The sequence below is a fragment of the Homo sapiens genome, chromosome 20, assembly GCF_000001405.40.
Source record: "Homo sapiens chromosome 20, GRCh38.p14 Primary Assembly".
NCBI lineage: Eukaryota > Metazoa > Chordata > Mammalia > Primates > Hominidae > Homo > Homo sapiens.
The window spans coordinates 10,333,899-10,352,739 of NC_000020.11; the positions used below are offsets into that span (position 1 = coordinate 10,333,899).

Consider the following 18,841-nt stretch of genomic DNA (forward strand, 5'->3'; position numbering starts at 1 on the left):
AAACCAGTCCAGAAATAGACCCACACAAATATAGTCAACTTATCTTTGACAAAGATTCAAAGACAATTCAGCAGAGAAAGGATCTTCAACAAATGGTCCTGGGACCTAGATAAGGACATTACACCTTTCACAAAAATTAACTCAAAATGGATCATAGACCTAAATGTAAAGTGTAAAACTATAAAAATTCTACAAGAAAACCTAGGAGAAAATCTATATGATGTGGATTAGAAGATGAGTTTTTAGATATAATGCCAAAAGCACATCTATGAGAGAAAAAAAAAGTTATGTCAGATTTTGTTAAAATTAAAAACTTATCTGCAAAAGACACTGTTAAAAAAATGAAAGAATGGAAGAAAAGAATTGCAAACACTTATCTGACAAAGGATTTATATCCAAAATATAACAAAGAATTCCTAAAACTCAATAATAAGAAAAAATTGGAAACTATAAAGATTGGAGGAGCCATTTGGATTGTAAGAGTTTTTCTCGCTGTCAGAAGATTCTTCAAGCAATCACTGTGTCAACCAACACAGATGTTTTTCTTTCTTCATATAATGAAGATCAGGAATCCAAACTTATTTGAAAAGCTGAAAAGACACCATTAATCCCACTGGAATAGCAGGTTTTGCAGCAATTGTTGCACATGGATTAACAAATTGAAGATCAGGGGAAATATTAAAATGTCCCTTCACCTGATCCACATGTGTATGGCAGCCCAAGGCTTTGTAATGGGAGCAATGACTCCTGGTATGGGCTATTCCCTATATTGGGAATTCTGGGCAAAACCTAAGCCTTAGAAGAAGAGATGCTGTCTTGGTCTTGTTGGAGGAGCTTGCATTAGTTACACATTTCACTATTGAGGTTACATGTTTATGTTGAAAATAAATTGAATATATTCAGACAATAACGTGGTATTTTGAATACTGGCTGCCTTTCTTGCAGGCTTGATTTGCTTGGTGACCAAATTACCCATGACTGGTTCACTAACTAGGTCACTCAGGCGAGTCAAGTTAACACAAAAGAAACATGTCACCCAAATGGACTTGATGATGTTAAAATGTCCACCTTTTAAAAATGTTAAGATGAAATCAGTTCTAAAGAAGACAGTAGGCCAACCTTGAAGTGCTCCCTGTTTGCTGCAGATTATTGCATGCTTTAATGCTATGTAGGAGTCCTATTTATCCTACTTAACTCTTTTTTGCCTGTCTTGTGGACTGGTTGGCTCTTTTGGAACTCTTTCAAAAAAGTGCATGGAGTATAACTTGTAAAGCCTCCCACAACTGAAATTGTGTATGTGTGTGTTTAAACCAAACCTAGGCTGGGCAAAGTGGCTCACACCTGTAATCCCAGCACTTTGGGAGGCCGAGGTAGGCGGATCACTTGAGGCCAGGAGTTTGAGACCAGCCTGGCCAACATGGCAATACCCCGTCTCTAATAAAATTACAAAAATTAGTCAGATGTGATGCTGCATGCCCGTAATCCCAACTATTCTGGAGGCTGAGGCATGAGAATTGCTTGAACCCGGGAGGAGGAGGTAGCAGTGAGCTGAGATCATGCCACTGCACTCCAGCCTGGGTGACAGAGTGAGACTTTGTCTCAAAAAATAAATAAATAAATAATAAACTAAACTTAGAAAGCTTACAACAGAGCTACATAGTAGTGGTATTTATTTCAGATTCGCAATTATTTCTTTTTTTTTTTTTTTTGAGATGGAGTTTTGCTCATTGCTTAGGTTGGAGTGCAATGGCATGATCTGGGATCACTCTACTTCCACCTCTCGGGTTCAAGTGATTCTCCTGTCTCAGCTTCCCAAGTAGCTAGGATTATAGGCATGTGCCACCATGCCCAGCTAATTTTGTATTTTTAGTAGAGGCAGGGTTTCACCATGTTGGTCAGGCTGGTCTTGAACTCCTGAACTCAAGTGATCCATCTGGCTCAGCCTCCCAAAGTGCTGGGATTACAGGCATGAGCCACCACGCCTGGCCTCAGAATCACAATTCTAAACATAAGAATAGCTTAATTATGGATTCCAGTTGAGCTCTTTTATAATTGCAGAATTGTATTTTTGCTGCTACTGTATTAGAATAATTTTTAAATGCCATCTTGAAAGAGAAATATGTATTTTAGGCACTAATGCAAAGATAAATGAAGAACACTTTAAATGTGTGCATTATGTTTATTTTCTCCATAAGAATCATAAACATTAAACTAAACAAATTACCTATAATGGTAATTTAGACATACACAGGGAGGAGATGGCCATCCCCAAGCCAAAGAGAGAGGCCTCAGAAGAAACCAACCTGCCAACACCTTGATCTTATGCTTCCAAGCTTCCAAAATTGTGAGAAAATTTATTTCTGTTGTAAGCCACAGAGTCAATGGTACTCTGCTATGGCAGCCTCAGCAAACTAATACAGCCCTTTGCCTACCTGAATTTTGGAAGTATTGGGAGGAACCCAGTTGACATTTAGATGAAGTATAGAAATACTTTTTTACACAAGTTTAATAAAATTGCTATCATTTATGGTGTACTTATTCAAAATTACAGTGTGGTAGCTATTTATATTCCAAGGTATATAGCAAACATATTTAATCTTTAGGTTAAAAATAAAGTGTGGTGTGGAGGAAAATACCAAATTACAAGTTTTTGTGATCACCCTCTCCATTTCTTCCTAAGGGTAAAAGAAATAGTATTTGTTTGGTTTGTTTATCAGGGTATCGTTGTGGAAGGAGAGAAGACTTGAAGAATTGAGAAGGTGCAATTAATCTTCATGAGAACAAAAAGAGAAAAGACAGGAGAAACAGAAGAGCTAGCACAACTGGAAACTTTGGAGAGTACGTGAGAGAGAAAAGATTCAGGAAGAGCTATTAGGAGTGGAATATTTCGGGGGGATGGTATATAAGAAGGGTTATTAGAAAGGTATGCCATGTAGAATCCATTGTGCTGTTGCCTCTTCCTTCCATGAAAAATTGTCACAAGATTTCCACGTTATTCTCTAAGGCTTTAGATTTATATTGCTTTTTCTGACATTACAAAATGTTGAAAAGTTGTAAAATGAAAACAGGGAGCTTAAGACAGCTCAGTCCATTTAGTATTTTTCTCTTAAAATTTTCCACAATGTGAAACACAAAGTAAAATGCTGTAAGGGCAATGATTAAGCAAAGAATAAAGTTTACTTTTTCTTCCATTTGATTTCTCTAGCTTTCAAGTGTCTGCTACTTAGTCCATCTGTTGTTCTATTATGTTGTGTTTGGCAAACAGATGCAGGAGAAGAACACTATTGCCTTTTCTGTTTTATATAACCCTAGAGATACAAACATAATTTTAGTTGAGTTTTCTTTTGTAGAGAAAAATTGCAAAGGACTAAAATACACCCAAAAAAATTACTGTATGTTTTAAATGAAAATATAGGCATTGTCTAATATACCCTTCCAGGTTACCTGATTCTTTGGAGTCTCTATACCTTTTATTTTATTTGAGTTCTTTACAATTCTGCAACTGAAAAATGCAAATGATTCAGAATTACGCAATCAACACTAATTTCAGAACATTTTCATCACTCCAAAAGAAACCTCATCTCCATTAACAGTCACCCTCCTTTCCACCTTCCTCTCAGCCTTTCTCAACCACTGATCTACTTTCTGCCTCTGTGGATTTGCCTATTCTGGACACAACTCATATAAATGGAATTATGCAACATATGGCCTTTTGTGTCTGGCTCTTCTGAGGCAGCATAATGTTTTCCAGGCTCATCCATACTATAGCATGAATGAACACTCATCCATTTTTATGGCTTAGGGCTGCGTGGTGTTCCATTGTGTGGACATACCACCTTTTGTTTGTTCATTTATCAGTTGATGAACATTTGTGTTTCTTCCACATTTCAGCTATTACAAATAATGCTGCTATGAAAAAGAAAGAAATGCAAATGATGCTCCACATTCGATTTTTCTAAGGCACTCATGGCTTCTTTATCACATTCAGATAGTTTTTACTTGTTTTCAGCTCTTGGTTAGATTATTTAAGAGTCTTGAGTTGGTTTTTAAAGTCAAAAGAAACACTTTTTCCTTTCCCTACCTGTTCATAAAATTGAAAGACCATAGCATTGGGATTGAATTGAACCTCCACAAATATACAAGTGAATCTGGGAGGTTCAGTTGATTCCCCCCTACCCAAACAAGTCATTTTGGCACCAATTATGGAAATTCAAATTCATTTTGACATTTATGGTAGCCTACATGTATGTCTTCTCTTCAAATTGTTCTTGAACTGGTTGTAACATCTTACTGTTTCCTCATTAACGAGTTAAATAAAATCTTTGACGTGTGTCCATTTTCTATTTGTAGAAGAGTTATGAGTCTATCTTTTCTAAAAACTTTATCCTTAGCGCTTTCATAAACTGACTGTCTTTAAGCTTTTAGGAGCACAGCTGAATATTAGTCATACCTGACTTTCAACTGGACACAAAAAGTGAATTACTGTTTTGGAGTAAGGAATAGCAGGGGGCGGCTGTGGAACAGCAGGGCTGAACTGACCTCTCTATACCTCAGTCAAGAGTCTCAACTGTGTACATCTCCAACTAACCCAGGGAACCTAGCTATAATCTGCATGACATTTTTATCTCTGACATTCAGTTTGACTTTCAAGTATCACACAGTAGAAAAAAGAAACTCATGAATCCAAAATGAAACTGAATAATATTTTTCCACTTGGCACTACACCATCTAGTCTAATGTGAAAAAAAAATCCACTTCAGTTTGCTACTGCCTGCTGATTAGCATGAGCTCAGCCGTCCTTCAAAAGTTCAGCCTCTCCTAAAAGCAGACACAGTCACTGCTGTGAGCCAAAGGGGGAGAGAAGAATCTCAATTCTTAAATTTTCCTGAGGGTTATTTTTTGGGAAAAATACATTTAATGCATGGATTTCACTTACTCTGAAAAGTTCCTTCATTCCTGTTTTAAAGGTAACATCTAAGAAGTGCCCACAACTTCCAGTGAGCAAAACACCTGCCATCTTGAGATAGATGTTGCCAGAAAACAGAAAATGTTGCAAGAGGTTCGCTGTATCAGAATTAGAAACACATGCCACATGCTTTCTGCTACTGCCAAACTTGAAGCCACATCCTGACATTTCAGTTAAATGCTCTTTCCAAGGCACCTATGGCTTCTTTATCACATTCAGATAGTTTTTACTTGTTTTCAGCTCTTGGTTAGATTATTTAAGAGTCTTGAGTTGGATTTGAAAGTCAATAGAAATAGTTTTTCCTTTCCCTACCTGTTCATAAAATTGAAGGACAAGAGCACTGGGATCAAATCTAGGCAAATATCTTAACAGACAATATCCAAAATGTAATTTTCAAAATGTTTAAAATTATATAATTCTCAATTAAATTTATAATGAATAGAAATCAAAGTTTTATTAGACTTAATAATGAGTTAATGGTTTTTTTGAACCAACCAAGTTGGTTCAAACCAACTTGTAGGTTCAAACTTGTAGGATACAAAGACTGACAATTATATAGTCAATGAAAGAAAAGAATTCTGCAATAAATCACAAAGACGCAAAACTGTTATTGTTCTACTAGCAATACAACTATATCCTTTGAGGTTATCTTTTCTACCCAGGGAAATTTGTGTGTATCACCATCAGGCAAAAATAATCCCCACCATTTCTGGACAAAAATTATTGCATAACATTGGTCAAAAATTATTTATACCTTATCAGTTTCCAGTAAAGCAATACCATAGAGTTGTAAATTGTCTGAGCCCTAATCAACAGTAAATCGTAAATCAAACAAACTTATATATCATGTCACCCTAGGGCAGGAGTCATCCAATTACAGCCTTGCTTAGACTCTGGGTCAAAACTAGCTCACCACCTGTTTTGTAAATAAAGTTTTATTGGAACCCAGCCTCACACATTTGTTTACATGTTTTAAATAGCTGCTTTTGCTGCAGAGTTGAATAGTTGTGGCAGAGACTGGATGGCCCACACAGTCTAAAATACTATCTGGGCTCTTTACAGAAAACAAAATATAACAAAAATCTTGATGTGTTAGGACATTCTTGTTTTGCTATAAAGAAATACCTGAGACTGGGTAATTTACAAAGAAAATAGGTTTAATTGGCTCACAGTTTTGCAGGCTGTACAAGTATATCGACAGCCTCTGCTTGGCTTCTGGGGAGGACCTAGGGAGCTTTCACTCACAGTGGAAGGCAAAGTGGTAGCAGGCACATCATATGGCAAGAGCAGGAGCAAGGGGTAAGCGGGAGGTGCCACATACTTTTAAACAATCAGATCTTAAAAGAAGTCACTCACTATTGTGAGCAGAGCACCAAGCCATGAGTAATCTTCCCCCATGACCTGAGCACCTTCCCCCAGGCCTCACTTCCAACACTGGACAATACACATCAACATAAGATTTGGAAGGGGCACCCAAACTGTATCAGGTGCCAACTTTTGATCTGGGAACAGGGCATTGTCTAACAATGGAAACAAAGTTTCTTTTTTTTTTTTTTTTTTTTTTTTTTTTTTTTTACCTTACGTATAAGCTTTGGGTAATATTTTTTCTTAACAACAATATTAGTAAAAAAAAAAAAAGCATGAGATTAAAATCAGAAAAATGTCTTCAGGGAGAAGGCACATCTGAAATAATTTAAATCCCATGAATATATGACTGAAAATTTGTGCATTGCAGCCACATGTTACAATGAAACTAGCTTAACCGCGCTAGAGATCCTCAGACTCTCCTTCAGTATCAATTGAAAGAGAAACACTAAATTCTTCATTTGTAGGTTAATGTTTAGAAATGGTATTGGAGCAAGAGTTTTAAAATACCAGTCTAGACTAATCTTGTCCATGTTACCTCTTCAGAGGTTATGTATTTCCCGCAGTCACTAGACATGACCAATGTGAATTATAGACATTTGGGGGATTTTGTAGACTCCTTAGCCCCCATCTGAAAAGCAGAGGTAGGCAAAATGTCATATTAAGCCCAATTCACAGGAGTAAATTTATTATTATTATTATTGCATTGAGACAGGGTCTTGCTGTGTTGCCCACACTGGCCTCAGACACCTGTGCTCAAGGCTGTCCTCCTGCCTCAGCCTTCTAAGGAACTGCGACTATAATGATAGCAGCAGCAGCCTATCTGGAGCCACTGCTGCAAAGATGCCTGCTGCAGCGAGGGAGGTGCAGCCAGGGCTGCATGCTCCACAGAGCCAGCAGGAGTTGGGAACAGGCAGGAGCCCCATCCCCTTCCAAGCTGGTGGGGTGGGAACCCCACACTCCTGGGCATTGCTGCAGCCACCCAACTATGGCTGCAGACATGGGCATCCCTGTGCTCTGGAGGGGGGGTGGACCTGCGAAGCCCCCCTGCCCCTGCAGGCTTGAAAGTGCCCGATCCTATTGCCTGGCCTCCTTCTCCTGGCTCCCAGCACCTGCTTCTATTTCAGAGCAAAGTTGTGGCTGAGACTGGTCACTGTCTCAACTTGGCCAGGTCTGTGTGTTCTTGGGGTGGCACTGACATGCCAGCCCCCTGCCGCTTCAGTCCCCTCTGGACTTTGAGTACCAGTGAGCACAGGAGAGAGTGAGGGGGAATTGTGGGCAGCTTGGCATGGGCCTGCAGGCACCCCTCTGCATGAACAGCCTGGGTGCTGTGGGTGCCATAGATGGTAGGTTGATGGTGGTAGGAGGCAGAGAGCCTCCTGGGTGGAAAGGGGCAGGACCCCAGTGAAGTCCTGCCTTCAAGCCAGGGATAGCCTGAAGACTAGGGGCGGGGCTGCCAGTTTCTCCGACCAGAGTGAGAACTTATGGTGCTTTCTCCGGGCCTGCCCATCACCTCCCATGGACCAATCAGCATGCATTTCCTCCCTTCTGAAGCACATAAAAACCCCAGACACAGCCAGACTTGGGTAGATATCCAGATGACCTGGAGGCAGATAGGAGCTACCCACTCTGAGTCTCCTCTCTGCTGAGAGCTGCACACTTGTCAGGACTACCTGCCTGCAGAAAGGAGCGGCCCACTTAGGGTCTCCTGAGCACTGTACTGTTACACAGTAAAGCACCCCTTGCTCACCCTCCGTTTGTCCTCGTATCTCATTCTTCCTGGATGTGGGACAAGAACTTGAGACCCACTGAATGGTGGGGCTGGAGGAGCTGTAACACAAACAGAGCTGAAACACACCCCCACTGCTCACCACATCATGGCAAGGAGAAAGAGAGGAGAGAAGAGCTGCTGCCCTTCTGGAAGCCCAGACTAAGAGCTCCCAGAACCAGGGCTATGACACCCAATTTAGGGCTCTGCCATTCCTGGTGTCTCCAAGATTCTGGGCACCAACAGGTTCCCCAGTGCCTGCAGTGGAAGCCACTTGTGGTATGCCTAGTTCAGCCACAGCAGGGAGCCAGCACCCATGCCAATGCCTGGAGCTGCCTGCCCCACCACAGCCTGGCTGTGCACAGTGGCTGGACCCCAGGCTCACTCATTCATGCACCCCCTCACTGGTCCATGCCTGGCTTGCCCTTGGCAGGTGTGGGATCCAGGCTAGGAGCAAAAGCCGAATGCAGCCTGCCAGGCCAAGTGGGTGGAACAAGTCCAGTGGGCCCAAGCAAAACTCAGGCAAAGGTGCCATTGGCCACAGATGTTCCCAGCTGGTGAAGTGACACTCCAAGGATCCTGAGACATAAGAACATACCACTGCACCTGGAAGAAAGAAGCAAATTCTGACAAAGTTTTATCTAGGTTATACACAGGGCTGAGATTCAGCAAGTATTCACATCTTGTTAAAATATGTAATACTTAAGCACCATTTGGTAACTAGCCATGGCTCTGAGCCACTCATATAATCCTCAGGTTATCCCAGTAATCCCAGCCTCTCCCTCTAGAACCCCCAAGATCAGTCACCTACTAAAGGGTTAATTCTGGCATAGAGCAGAAAGTCGGTATGTAGTCAAGGGTTCACATGGTGATTGGTTGTTGCCCACACTGTGTTGTACACTAAATATTTTTACATTTTTACCCCTGGCTTTACAGTCCCCACATTCCCAAATTGTTCACAGTTCCTTTCCAGTTAAGTTCCTCCTGGCACCCACCAGCCACATCACAAAATCAATGCAAATCTCTTTAAAAACAGCAGCAGCAAAATAGAAGGAAAGCCAGGAAGAACAAGCATAGAATGGGAACCAATCTTAATTCTACATCTAATGCTACCCAAATGAGGAAAGATTATGCAAACAATTCTAACAAAAAGTGTTAGATTTTTTTTTTAATTCCTAAATATTGAAGAATTGTACAGCCTAACATAGATGAAAGAACTGAGGCATTTACACACCAACTGGAAGAGGGGGCTCCCTGTAAGGAAAACTCATAAGAAAAGCCCTTAATGAAAGAACTAAGAAAATAGAAAAACAACAGAAGAAAGCTTTGGAAAAAAACTTCTGATTTTAGACTTCTGCTTAACCTAACCTGGGTGCCCAGAATAACTTGTCCATTCTGACTTTATCTTTATCTGACTTTGCTTTTATCCAGCTCTCCCCGTCGTTGAATGCTGTATTTGCACACATTGAAGTTCAGATGCTATTGGTGCCCCACCTTGTGTCCCCTGACTCCTCTTCAATGCACATCAGTCAAACTTTCAACAGCCAGCCCTCGCATTTCCTTCCCTAAGGGCTTTCACTGTCCCCTGGATCCCCCTCTGCCATTTGTTGTATAAATGTCTCAGTTTCTTTAACCCTCAGGTAGAATATTCTACACCAGCTTTCAGAGTATTCCCAGCAGAAATGAGCTCCAGCCATTCCTAACAGCAGCTGACTTGACAAGGTACATATCATTGGCTCCTTTCCCTTTCCCTGTCTCATGTAACCCTCAATTCCAGTTGCCTTTATCTTCTAAATAAGCCCAAAATGTTCACCTCCTAAATTACATTCAAGTCTTTGTGTCAGAATCTGTTCTCTGGCAGAATCCAAAATAAAACACAGTAAGAGGTCAAGAAACAGTCATTCACTCATTCAAGACAAAAGGTATCTCTACTTTTTGGAACTTATTGAGGTTTCCTTTGTACCCTATTTTATATGTGTTGGTGGGCACTTGGAAAGAATGCATATGCTCTAATAAACATATATATATACACACACACAAACACACACACATATGTGTGTGTATATTTATGTGTGTATGTATATATATATAATCAATTTTACTTTAAAATTATGTTATTTAGACCTTTCATATCATTTCTTATTTTTCATCCAAACTATTATAGAATAAAATAGAATAATAAAATATTTTAGAATAAAAGAGTTGATTTGAAGTCCTCTATTATTCTATAGTTTCTGTCTTATGATTTTTTGTTGCCATGTTATTTGATTGCTCTGTTGCCCAGGCTGGAGTGTAATGGCTCAATCTTGGCTCGCTGCCACCTCCGTCTCCCGGGTTCAAGCTATTCTCCCTGCCTCAGCCATCTGAGTAGCTGGGATTACAGGTGCCCGCCACTAGGCCCAGCTAATTTTTGTGTTTTTAGTAGAGACAGGGTTTCGCCATTTGGCCAGGCTGGTCTCGAACTCCTGACCTCAGGTGATCCACCAGCCTTGGCCTCCCAAAAAACTGATATATTTTTATATGCTTTACACATTTCAAAATTATGAAGTACCTACAGCTTTTAGGACTGAATTACATCTTTTCAGATATTATGACCATGATTCCTGGGTTTTCAAAAATTTGCCATTCCTAATACAGTTTTGCTCATCCTTCAATTTTTGACCATCCTAAATCACTTTTCTAACACGTGTCCTTCATATATGGCATAGGGTTTATAATCGCTTAAATTCCAACCTAATTTAAACTTATTCTCCTTTAAAATGTAAGTTAAATCCATTTATATTTATTGAGCTGACATGTGTTTGGTCTCTGTTCTGTCATATTATTTCACATTTTCTGTTTTTATATATTAAAGTCTTTAATATTTTAAAGACTTCATGCAGTCTATTTTCTTTGGTTTGCTTTCTGTGTATAGTTCTAAGATTTGATGAGGTCTGTAGTTCTGTTATGATGATTATTTTTATTAATGCATATCGTCAGCATACAATAGTTCCCTGTTACAAGAAATAAAAAATAGCGTTCTCTCCTTCTTCCCCATTCCCTTCCTCTCCTCCCCACCACCCAATTTAAATCAATAACGTTATCTTTCTTATCGTTACCTTTGTATTATTAAAAATGTGTGTATGCCTATCACTTCATTAGTCAGCTTTTAATGACGTCATTTAAATCAGCAGACTTATTTTAACTCCTACTTTCTTCACTCCGATTTGTAGTATTGTAAAATTTCTATATTGTCCATAGTCACTTCAAGATGGCTCTATCACCTTTAGCCAGTGTATTCTTACAGTGCTTTCTGAAATCTGTTTTTTCTGGGTTCTTTCACTAACCTTTTGCCTTTATCCTTCCTTTTCTCTTTTACTTTTTTCAGCTGCTCTTCCTGTCTGTTGCTTTTATATTTTACAGTCTGTGAATCATATTTGTCTCCTACTTTTTACTAAAGATGGCATCTCTGAAGTGTGTTTCTTCATTCTCCTTGAAGATTTTGTATAGATTTCAGGAGGAGAAAAAGAAAGAGACTTACTTACACAGAGTCATACTGGAAGTTCCTGTATGTGTTTGTTGCTGTTGTGTTTGTTTTGTTTTGTGATCATGTAGCGTTTCTCATGCCCATTAAAGGATCAAACCTCACAAAACTACAAAAGCAGTGACTCTGGTCACAGGTATTATAGGTATTTTAACAAAACAATTAAGAAATCATTTGAGGAGTAACCTTTCAGCACTTCTCAAGGTATAGAAGTGCTGTGATTTGAATGTTTGTCCCCTGCAAAAGTAAGGTTGAAATTTAATTGTAATGGTATTAAGGGTGGGACCTTTAAAAGGCGCTTAGGCCATGAGGATCTGCTTTCATAGGTGGGATTACTGTTGACATAAAAGGGCAAGTTCGGCCCTCTTGATCTCTTTGCCCTTCTACCATATGATGACTTTTGCCATGTTTTAACACTGAAAGAAGGTCCTCACCAGATGCTGGAATCTTCATGTTGGGCTTCTCAGCCTCTGGAAGTGTGAGCCAATAAATGTATGTTTATTATAAATTACCCAATCTGCAGTAATCTGTTAAAGCAGCATGAAACAGACTAAAACAAGAAGCAAATGGCTTTTTAGCAATACAATTATCTAGGCCAACTTCTAACCGTTCCTCACCTGGTAATAACCATTTTCCTTTCATTTCTGTTTTACAAGTCTAATTTTACAGAATTATAAATCATTAGCAATAAGAGTGATGCTGTAGTGCATATTCTCAAAGAAATTTAAGCCGTTGATAATTTTTTCTTGGAAGGTAAATGTCTTGTGCTTATTCTTAATTATTCAAGTGATTTAAAAATGTGGACATAATCATAACTGTCAAGGTAAAGATTATAGTGAACATATCCACTTGGAGTACTTCAGGAGAGTTAAATAAGATTGGAAAGTATTGTTCACCTATAAAGTTAGAGAACTGGGCAGAAAGAAAAACCTATTGATTACGTTACTTTTGCTCATTGTTTAATTCCTGACCCTTCTTGAAATAGCTGCCCAACCCCTACGAAACTGTCATACCTCTCTGATGGCAGTTGACTAGTAATAAAATTCAGGTCACCATCTATTACAGGCCAGAGAGTCTGACTTTCAGCATAGTCTTAGTGACCAAATTTGCCAAATGCTATAGAATATTCCAAAAACAAAAGGTTTCATTCCTTGGTATAGATAGTGTCCATCTATAAGATAAAGAAAATTAGATCTAACTCATACAATTGGTGTGAAGATCAAATAAGAAAATGTGGATAAAGTACATGAGCCATAAGTAATCAATAAGTGTCAGTGGCCCTCCTGTGTGCTTCTCAGCTCTTCCTCCCCTCCGCCATTTCTTACTACTATAACCTGGATTTCCCTTGGCAATAGTCCTTTTGGACTTCCCAAAACTAGGAAACTTTTTGCTGAAAGCAGATTATTCTTTGTTTAGTGGAGTATAATGTAGTCCTCTAGTGATCAGAAATGGAGTAACCATTTTTTTCCTCCTAAATACTATTTGGCTTATTAATGACTTGCTCCTATTATGGCATTTCTCACATTGTTTTATAGGGTTTTTTTTTTTTTTGCACATATTTCTTTCATCTTGATTTCAAAATATAGAAAGGCAAAGACTCTACATTTTCTTCTTCAAATCTATGACACAGTATTAGTGATCTATTGCCGCATAACAAATTACTCTGAAATTCATCAGCTTAAAACAACACACATTTATTTTCTCAGAGTTTCTCAGAAGCAGCTTAGCTGCATAGTTTTGGCTCAGGGTGTCTCACGAGATTGCAGTCAAGCTGTTTGCTGGGGCGACTGTCATCATTTTTCATATTCTTGGCTGTGTCATATAATGTTCAACAGAGTCTCTCTCTCTCTCTCTCTCTCTCTAGTTCTCATTTAGATTCTATATGAGACAGAAATTCCAGAGCCAATTTACTTTTGAAAAACCCCTCAAATTACCCCTAAAACACAGTCTATATCCCTTTCAAGATGTTGAACACAGTGAAAGGTCTGGTTAAAAGCTGGGGAGAATAGTGGGCTTAGAATCAGAGGACATGTTCTATGAAAAATTACATAATTTTAAATACAAGAATTATATTTAACTTAGCTACACAGACACACAGACACACACATACACACACACACACACACACACACACACACAAGAGGCATTCAGAGACTGAGGAGGCTGAGGGTACAAAGTTTCCTATCTCACCTTGACCACAGGACTCACTCTCAATTAGTGGATTAGCAGTTGCAATTTAAAATTTAAAAAGTTGTTTATTTATTTATTTTTGCCAAGTTGAACCTGCATACATGAAATACATTCATGATTTAACCCTGACATATTAATATTAAAAGGTAAAGAAGTTTTCAGATTCATCTTTAAGTGTTCTCTCAGATTTGATCTTATGCTTTCTCTGTCCAGCATTTCTGAGCTTTGCTCTGCTTGCTGATTGATGCTAACAAAGCAGGCCTCAGAATTGTTCTAGTATTAGAGCCACTGGAAGCCAAAGTGCTTCTTGCAGAATATAGTATTGTTATGTTGTATTCCAATCACACAGATAATACTTTAACACAAAATTATATTTGGTTATTTTAAGTTTATATTGATTAGGGTCATTACATTTAATTAAATTTACACAGCATGAAAGGCAATAGTGTCATGATCGCAAGTGTAAAAATCCAAACACACACACACACACACACATTTGATTCATAGGTTTTTGAATCAAACCTATCCCTTAATATTGGTTTGTTGTATGATCATTCTTCTAGCTACCGGCTAGTCCTCTCTGGCAGATAATCAATGGCACCTGTCAAAAGTTTAAGATGCATAATATTTTTTAAAAGTATTGTAGAAAAACAAGTTTAAGAAAAATTTCCTTGAGTTATTTTTCCCCAAACTGGAATACAGTTACATTTTAGCCAAAGCCCTTGCGTTCGCTTATAGAAGATAAACCTTCTGTTGCAACCAAGGAGACAATTCCAATCTATCTCATGAGCTGCATGGAAATCTGAAGGTCAAAAAACTCTGAATGTCTTTCTTCTGTTATCCTTGTTAAAAAATAATATATCCCATCTGGAAATTTGGAGCTTGAGTCCTCTGTGGTAAGTGCTTCCTTTGTTGTTATGTAATCTTTATTTTCTAAATTCTTTACCACTAGTTGTGTAAAGTTGGTCCTGATGTAGGTACAGACATACACACGCCTCGGTTAAGAGTAAAGGTTTTGAATAAGCTGGCTTCTCTGACCAGAATATTGCTAGAATGTAAGCACTGTGAGTACACAGGCCTCCATATATTTTGCTCACTGCTGTTTCCCTCGAGAAGTCCCTGGCATTTGGTGAAGGCTTGATCAATATTTGTTGAGTGTTTTTATGGTTGAAATCATTGTTTATGTTCCATTAGCTTTCACCATTTTTTTTTCATACCTCTGTATTAGTTTCCTAGGGCTGCCATAACAAATTACCAAAAACTTGGTGGCTTTAAACAACAGAAGTTTATTCTCTCACGGTTCTAGAGTTTGTAAGTCTGAAATCAAGCTGTTAGCAAGGCCACACTCCCTCCAAGGCTGTAGGGGGGTATTTTTCCTTGTCTCTTCTAGTTTCTTTTTTCTGGTGAAAAGATACATATATTTAGAATTAGCCAGCCAGACTCAGTTTAGATGATCCCAATTTTGTTGGCAACATCCAAAGCATCATAATCAGGACCCAGAAGAATATGTGCCTTCTTCTCTCTATCAGTCCTAACCAGGGTGTTGACCTTGGCCACATCAATGTCACAGAGCTTTTTCACAGCCTGTTTGATCTGGTGCTTGTTGGCTTTAACATCCACAATGAACACAGGTGTGCTGTTGTCTTCTGTCTTCTTCATGGGAGACTCAGTGGTCAGCAGAAACTTGATGATGACATAGTGGCCAAGCTTGTTTCTCCTGGGGGTGCTCTTTCGAGGATATTTGGGCTGCCTCTGAAGTCACAGTGTCTTGGTGGGCGGGGGTCGTGCAGATTTTCTTTATGTGTGTGTGTATGTGGCTGTGGACACCTTTCAGCACTGCCTTCTTGGCCTTCAAAGCCTTTGCTTTGGCCTTGGCTTTAGGAGGGACGGAAGCTTCCTTCTTCATCTTTGGCACCATCTTGTGAAAAGCTCTCTTCTAGTTTCTGATGTCTCCAGGCATCCCTTGGCTTGTAGCTGCACAACTCCAATCTCTGCCTCCATCTTCACATGGTCCTCCCCTATGTCTGCTTCTGCTCTTCTTTTTATAAGCACATTTGTCATTGGATTTGGGGCCCACCTAGTTAATCCAGGATGGTTTAATCTTGAGATTCTTCACTTAATTTACACCAACAAAGACTCTTTTTCCAAATAAGATCACATTCACACTCACACGTATCTGAAGTTGGAACTTGGACATGTTTTTCATGGCCACGATGCAACCCATTACAATGTCTAACTACCAATATTAAGATTCTATTCATTCAACACACATTTTTAAAATATCTATTATGTTCCAGGCACCAAATGGTGAGGATGCAAATATCAGCATGATGTGGCCACTGTCCTTCCTTAGCCAGATGACAACTTATCAAAGGTTTTTATCCTAATCCTTCTGTAATAAAATATATTTTAAATTCACATAAAAGGATATCTTATCTACTCTGAATCCCTTCGTATTAATTTTTCCATAAATTCTAAAGAACACTCTTCATTGTTACTTTTTCAATTGTCCTATTATTCATTTTTCAGATGTTATTAGCTCGAGGTCATTTCTTTCAAAAAATTTCATGATGTGAAACCATTTTAATTAGTTTCAACATATTTTCTTTCACCACAAGTCAAAGTACAGGAGCAGTAAACTTAGCAAGAACCCATTCATCCCTGTACCATTTTGTCATTAAGGTAACATCAATATCCCTCCGGCTGAGGTTAGCCATATCTTATCATGGCCTGGTTTCTTTGGAAAGCAGAGCCTGAGAACATATAGGTAGTTTATTTGGGAAATAATTCCAGGAAGCAGGAGTGTCAGATGGGGGCGGTTTGGAGGGGAACAGGGGATCAGGGAATCAAGAGGGAGAAACTAAACAGGAATACATTGCCAATTGAGCCCTCACAATGCAGTAACTGGTTTTTGCCCCCGTAAGACTTTCTGATTTTTTTTTTTTTTTGAGATGGAGTCTCACTCTGTTTCCCAGGCTGGAGTACAGTCACTGCAACCTCCGCCTCCCCAGTTCAAGCAATTCTCTTGCCTCAGCCTCCCGAGTAGCTGGGACGACTGGTGTGTGCCAGCTAATTTTTGCGTTTTTAGTAGAGATGGGGTTTCACCATGTTGATCAGGCTGGTCTCGAACTCCTGACCTCGTGATCCAACAGCCTCAGCCTCCCAAAGTGCTGGGATTACAGGCGTGAGCCACTTCGCCTGGCCTACTCCCTTACTTTCTTAGTAAACTTGCTTTCACTTTACTCTGTCATCTCACTTTTGATTTCCTTCCTGCATGAAGGCAAGAACCCATGTGACCTCCCAGGCTGCACCCCCTTGAGGTTCACCCTGTGAAAGAATGACTCACAGGACTCAGGAAAACACTGTACTTACAATTACTCTTTTCCCATAAAGGATACAAATGAATAGTCAGATGAAAAAACATATGATGGCAAGATCTGGAAGGGTCTTGAGCACAGGAGCTTCTGTCCCCATGGAGCCAGGGTCTGCCACCCTCCTGGTACATCAATGTGTGCACCAACTGGGAAGCAGTTCACACCTCATCATTCAGAGCTTTTATTGAAGTTTTATTATGTAGGCATGATTGAATCAGTCATTAGCCACATTAGCCTCAGTTTCTGGCCTCCCCTCCTCAGCAGGCAGGGACTGGGGCTGAAGGTTCCAACCCTCTCACCACATGGTTGATTTTCCTAGCTGCCACCCCCCATCCTGAAGCTCTCTAGGGGCTCTGCCAAAAGTTACCTTATTAGCATATACTTGGATATAGCAAAAGTGGCTCATTATGAATAACAAAAGACACTCCTGTCATTAAGGAAATTCCAAGAGTTTCTGAAACTCTGTGGCAGGAAACAGGGGCAAAGACCAAATACTTTTTTTTTTTTTTTGAGACGGAGTTTCAAAACTTGTCACCCAGGCTGGAGTGCAATGGCGTGATATTGGCTCACTGCAACCTCCGCCTCCCGGGTTCAAGTGATTCTCCTACCTCAGCCTCCCAAGTAGCCTAAATACATGTTTTGATTATTCACAGTACAACACATAGGGAGTGCTCACTGAACACTGACGATTGTTATTCTCGAGGTGTGGAAGCTGTGTCATAGACCACAATCATCACAACCACCCCTGGAACAAACACCTCTGCTGTGTTAACTTTTGAATTAAAAAAGTAAATCTTAATTTAAAAAAAAGAATTTTCAGGCCAGGCACAGTGGCTCATGCCTGTAATCCCAGTACTTTGGGAGGCCTAGGCGGGCAGATCACCTGAGGTCAGGAGTTTGAGACCAGCCTGGTCAACATGGTGAAATCCCGTCTCTACTAAAAATACAAAAAATTAGCTGGGTGTGGTGGTGCGTGCCTGTAATCCCTGCTACTTTGGGGGCTAAGATAGGAGAATCACTTGAACCGGGAGATAGAGGTTGCAGTGAGCCGAGATCGCGCCACTGTACTCTAGCCTGGGTGACAGAGTGAGACTCCGTCTCAAGAAAAACAAAATTCAGAGCAGAAGATTTGGAAATGTTACAGATCACAAGCTCTTTGGTTTCCCATGTAATAAAAATTAATACGGGGCCAGGTAGTTTTCCCAGTCAAGGTTTTTATTTTGGAGCTTGTGCTCAAGCTCAAGGAAGACAGTGGAGGTACAAGGACTCCCTGAAAAAGCTGGTTGGGGCTTTTTTATTAGGCAAAGCACGGGAATTAACATCAGGTGTAGGGTATGCAGGCTGGGTTGGGCAAAGCATGTGAGGGGTAGATTATTCAGTTAGCATATCTGGTTGCAATGTTTATCTTGAGTAATGGACCACCTGGTGGTCTGGCTGGCAGCAACAAAGCTGTAAATCAATTGTTCAGCATTCCTTCCCAAGGTGGGACAGTCCACAATATTTAGATTTCCTAAGCCAGTTTCTGGAATTCTTTACGTAAAAGGCATGGTTACATGTTATGAAAGCGCGGAAGAACGGCTGTTTTCTTTGTGTGACTAAAGCCTTGGGATTCGTGGGCATATCACCAGCGAGTGGTGTGGGTTTTGTGATCAGTG

At 39.8% G+C, this 18,841-nt stretch overlaps 2 pseudogenes, besides 2 other annotated features; one reads left to right on the top strand and one right to left on the bottom strand.

The window, feature by feature from the left end:
* HIGD1AP15 (HIG1 hypoxia inducible domain family member 1A pseudogene 15) lies at nt 455-1,320 on the top strand (annotated as a pseudogene).
* Nucleotides 7,530-7,753: a silencer, noted in NCBI's record as "fragment chr20:10322076-10322299 (GRCh37/hg19 assembly coordinates)". NCBI's record gives its function as "represses an EF-1alpha promoter that drives an FKBP-Casp9 reporter gene in an ReSE screen in HepG2 liver carcinoma cells {active_cell/tissue: HepG2}" and the evidence as "EXISTENCE:reporter gene assay evidence [ECO:0000049][PMID:32094911]".
* Nucleotides 15,214-15,741, bottom strand: RPL23AP6 (ribosomal protein L23a pseudogene 6; annotated as a pseudogene).
* Nucleotides 16,968-17,197: an enhancer, noted in NCBI's record as "active region_17541". NCBI's record gives its function as "activates an Ori minimal core promoter by ATAC-STARR-seq in GM12878 lymphoblastoid cells {active_cell/tissue: GM12878}" and the evidence as "EXISTENCE:reporter gene assay evidence [ECO:0000049][PMID:35858748]".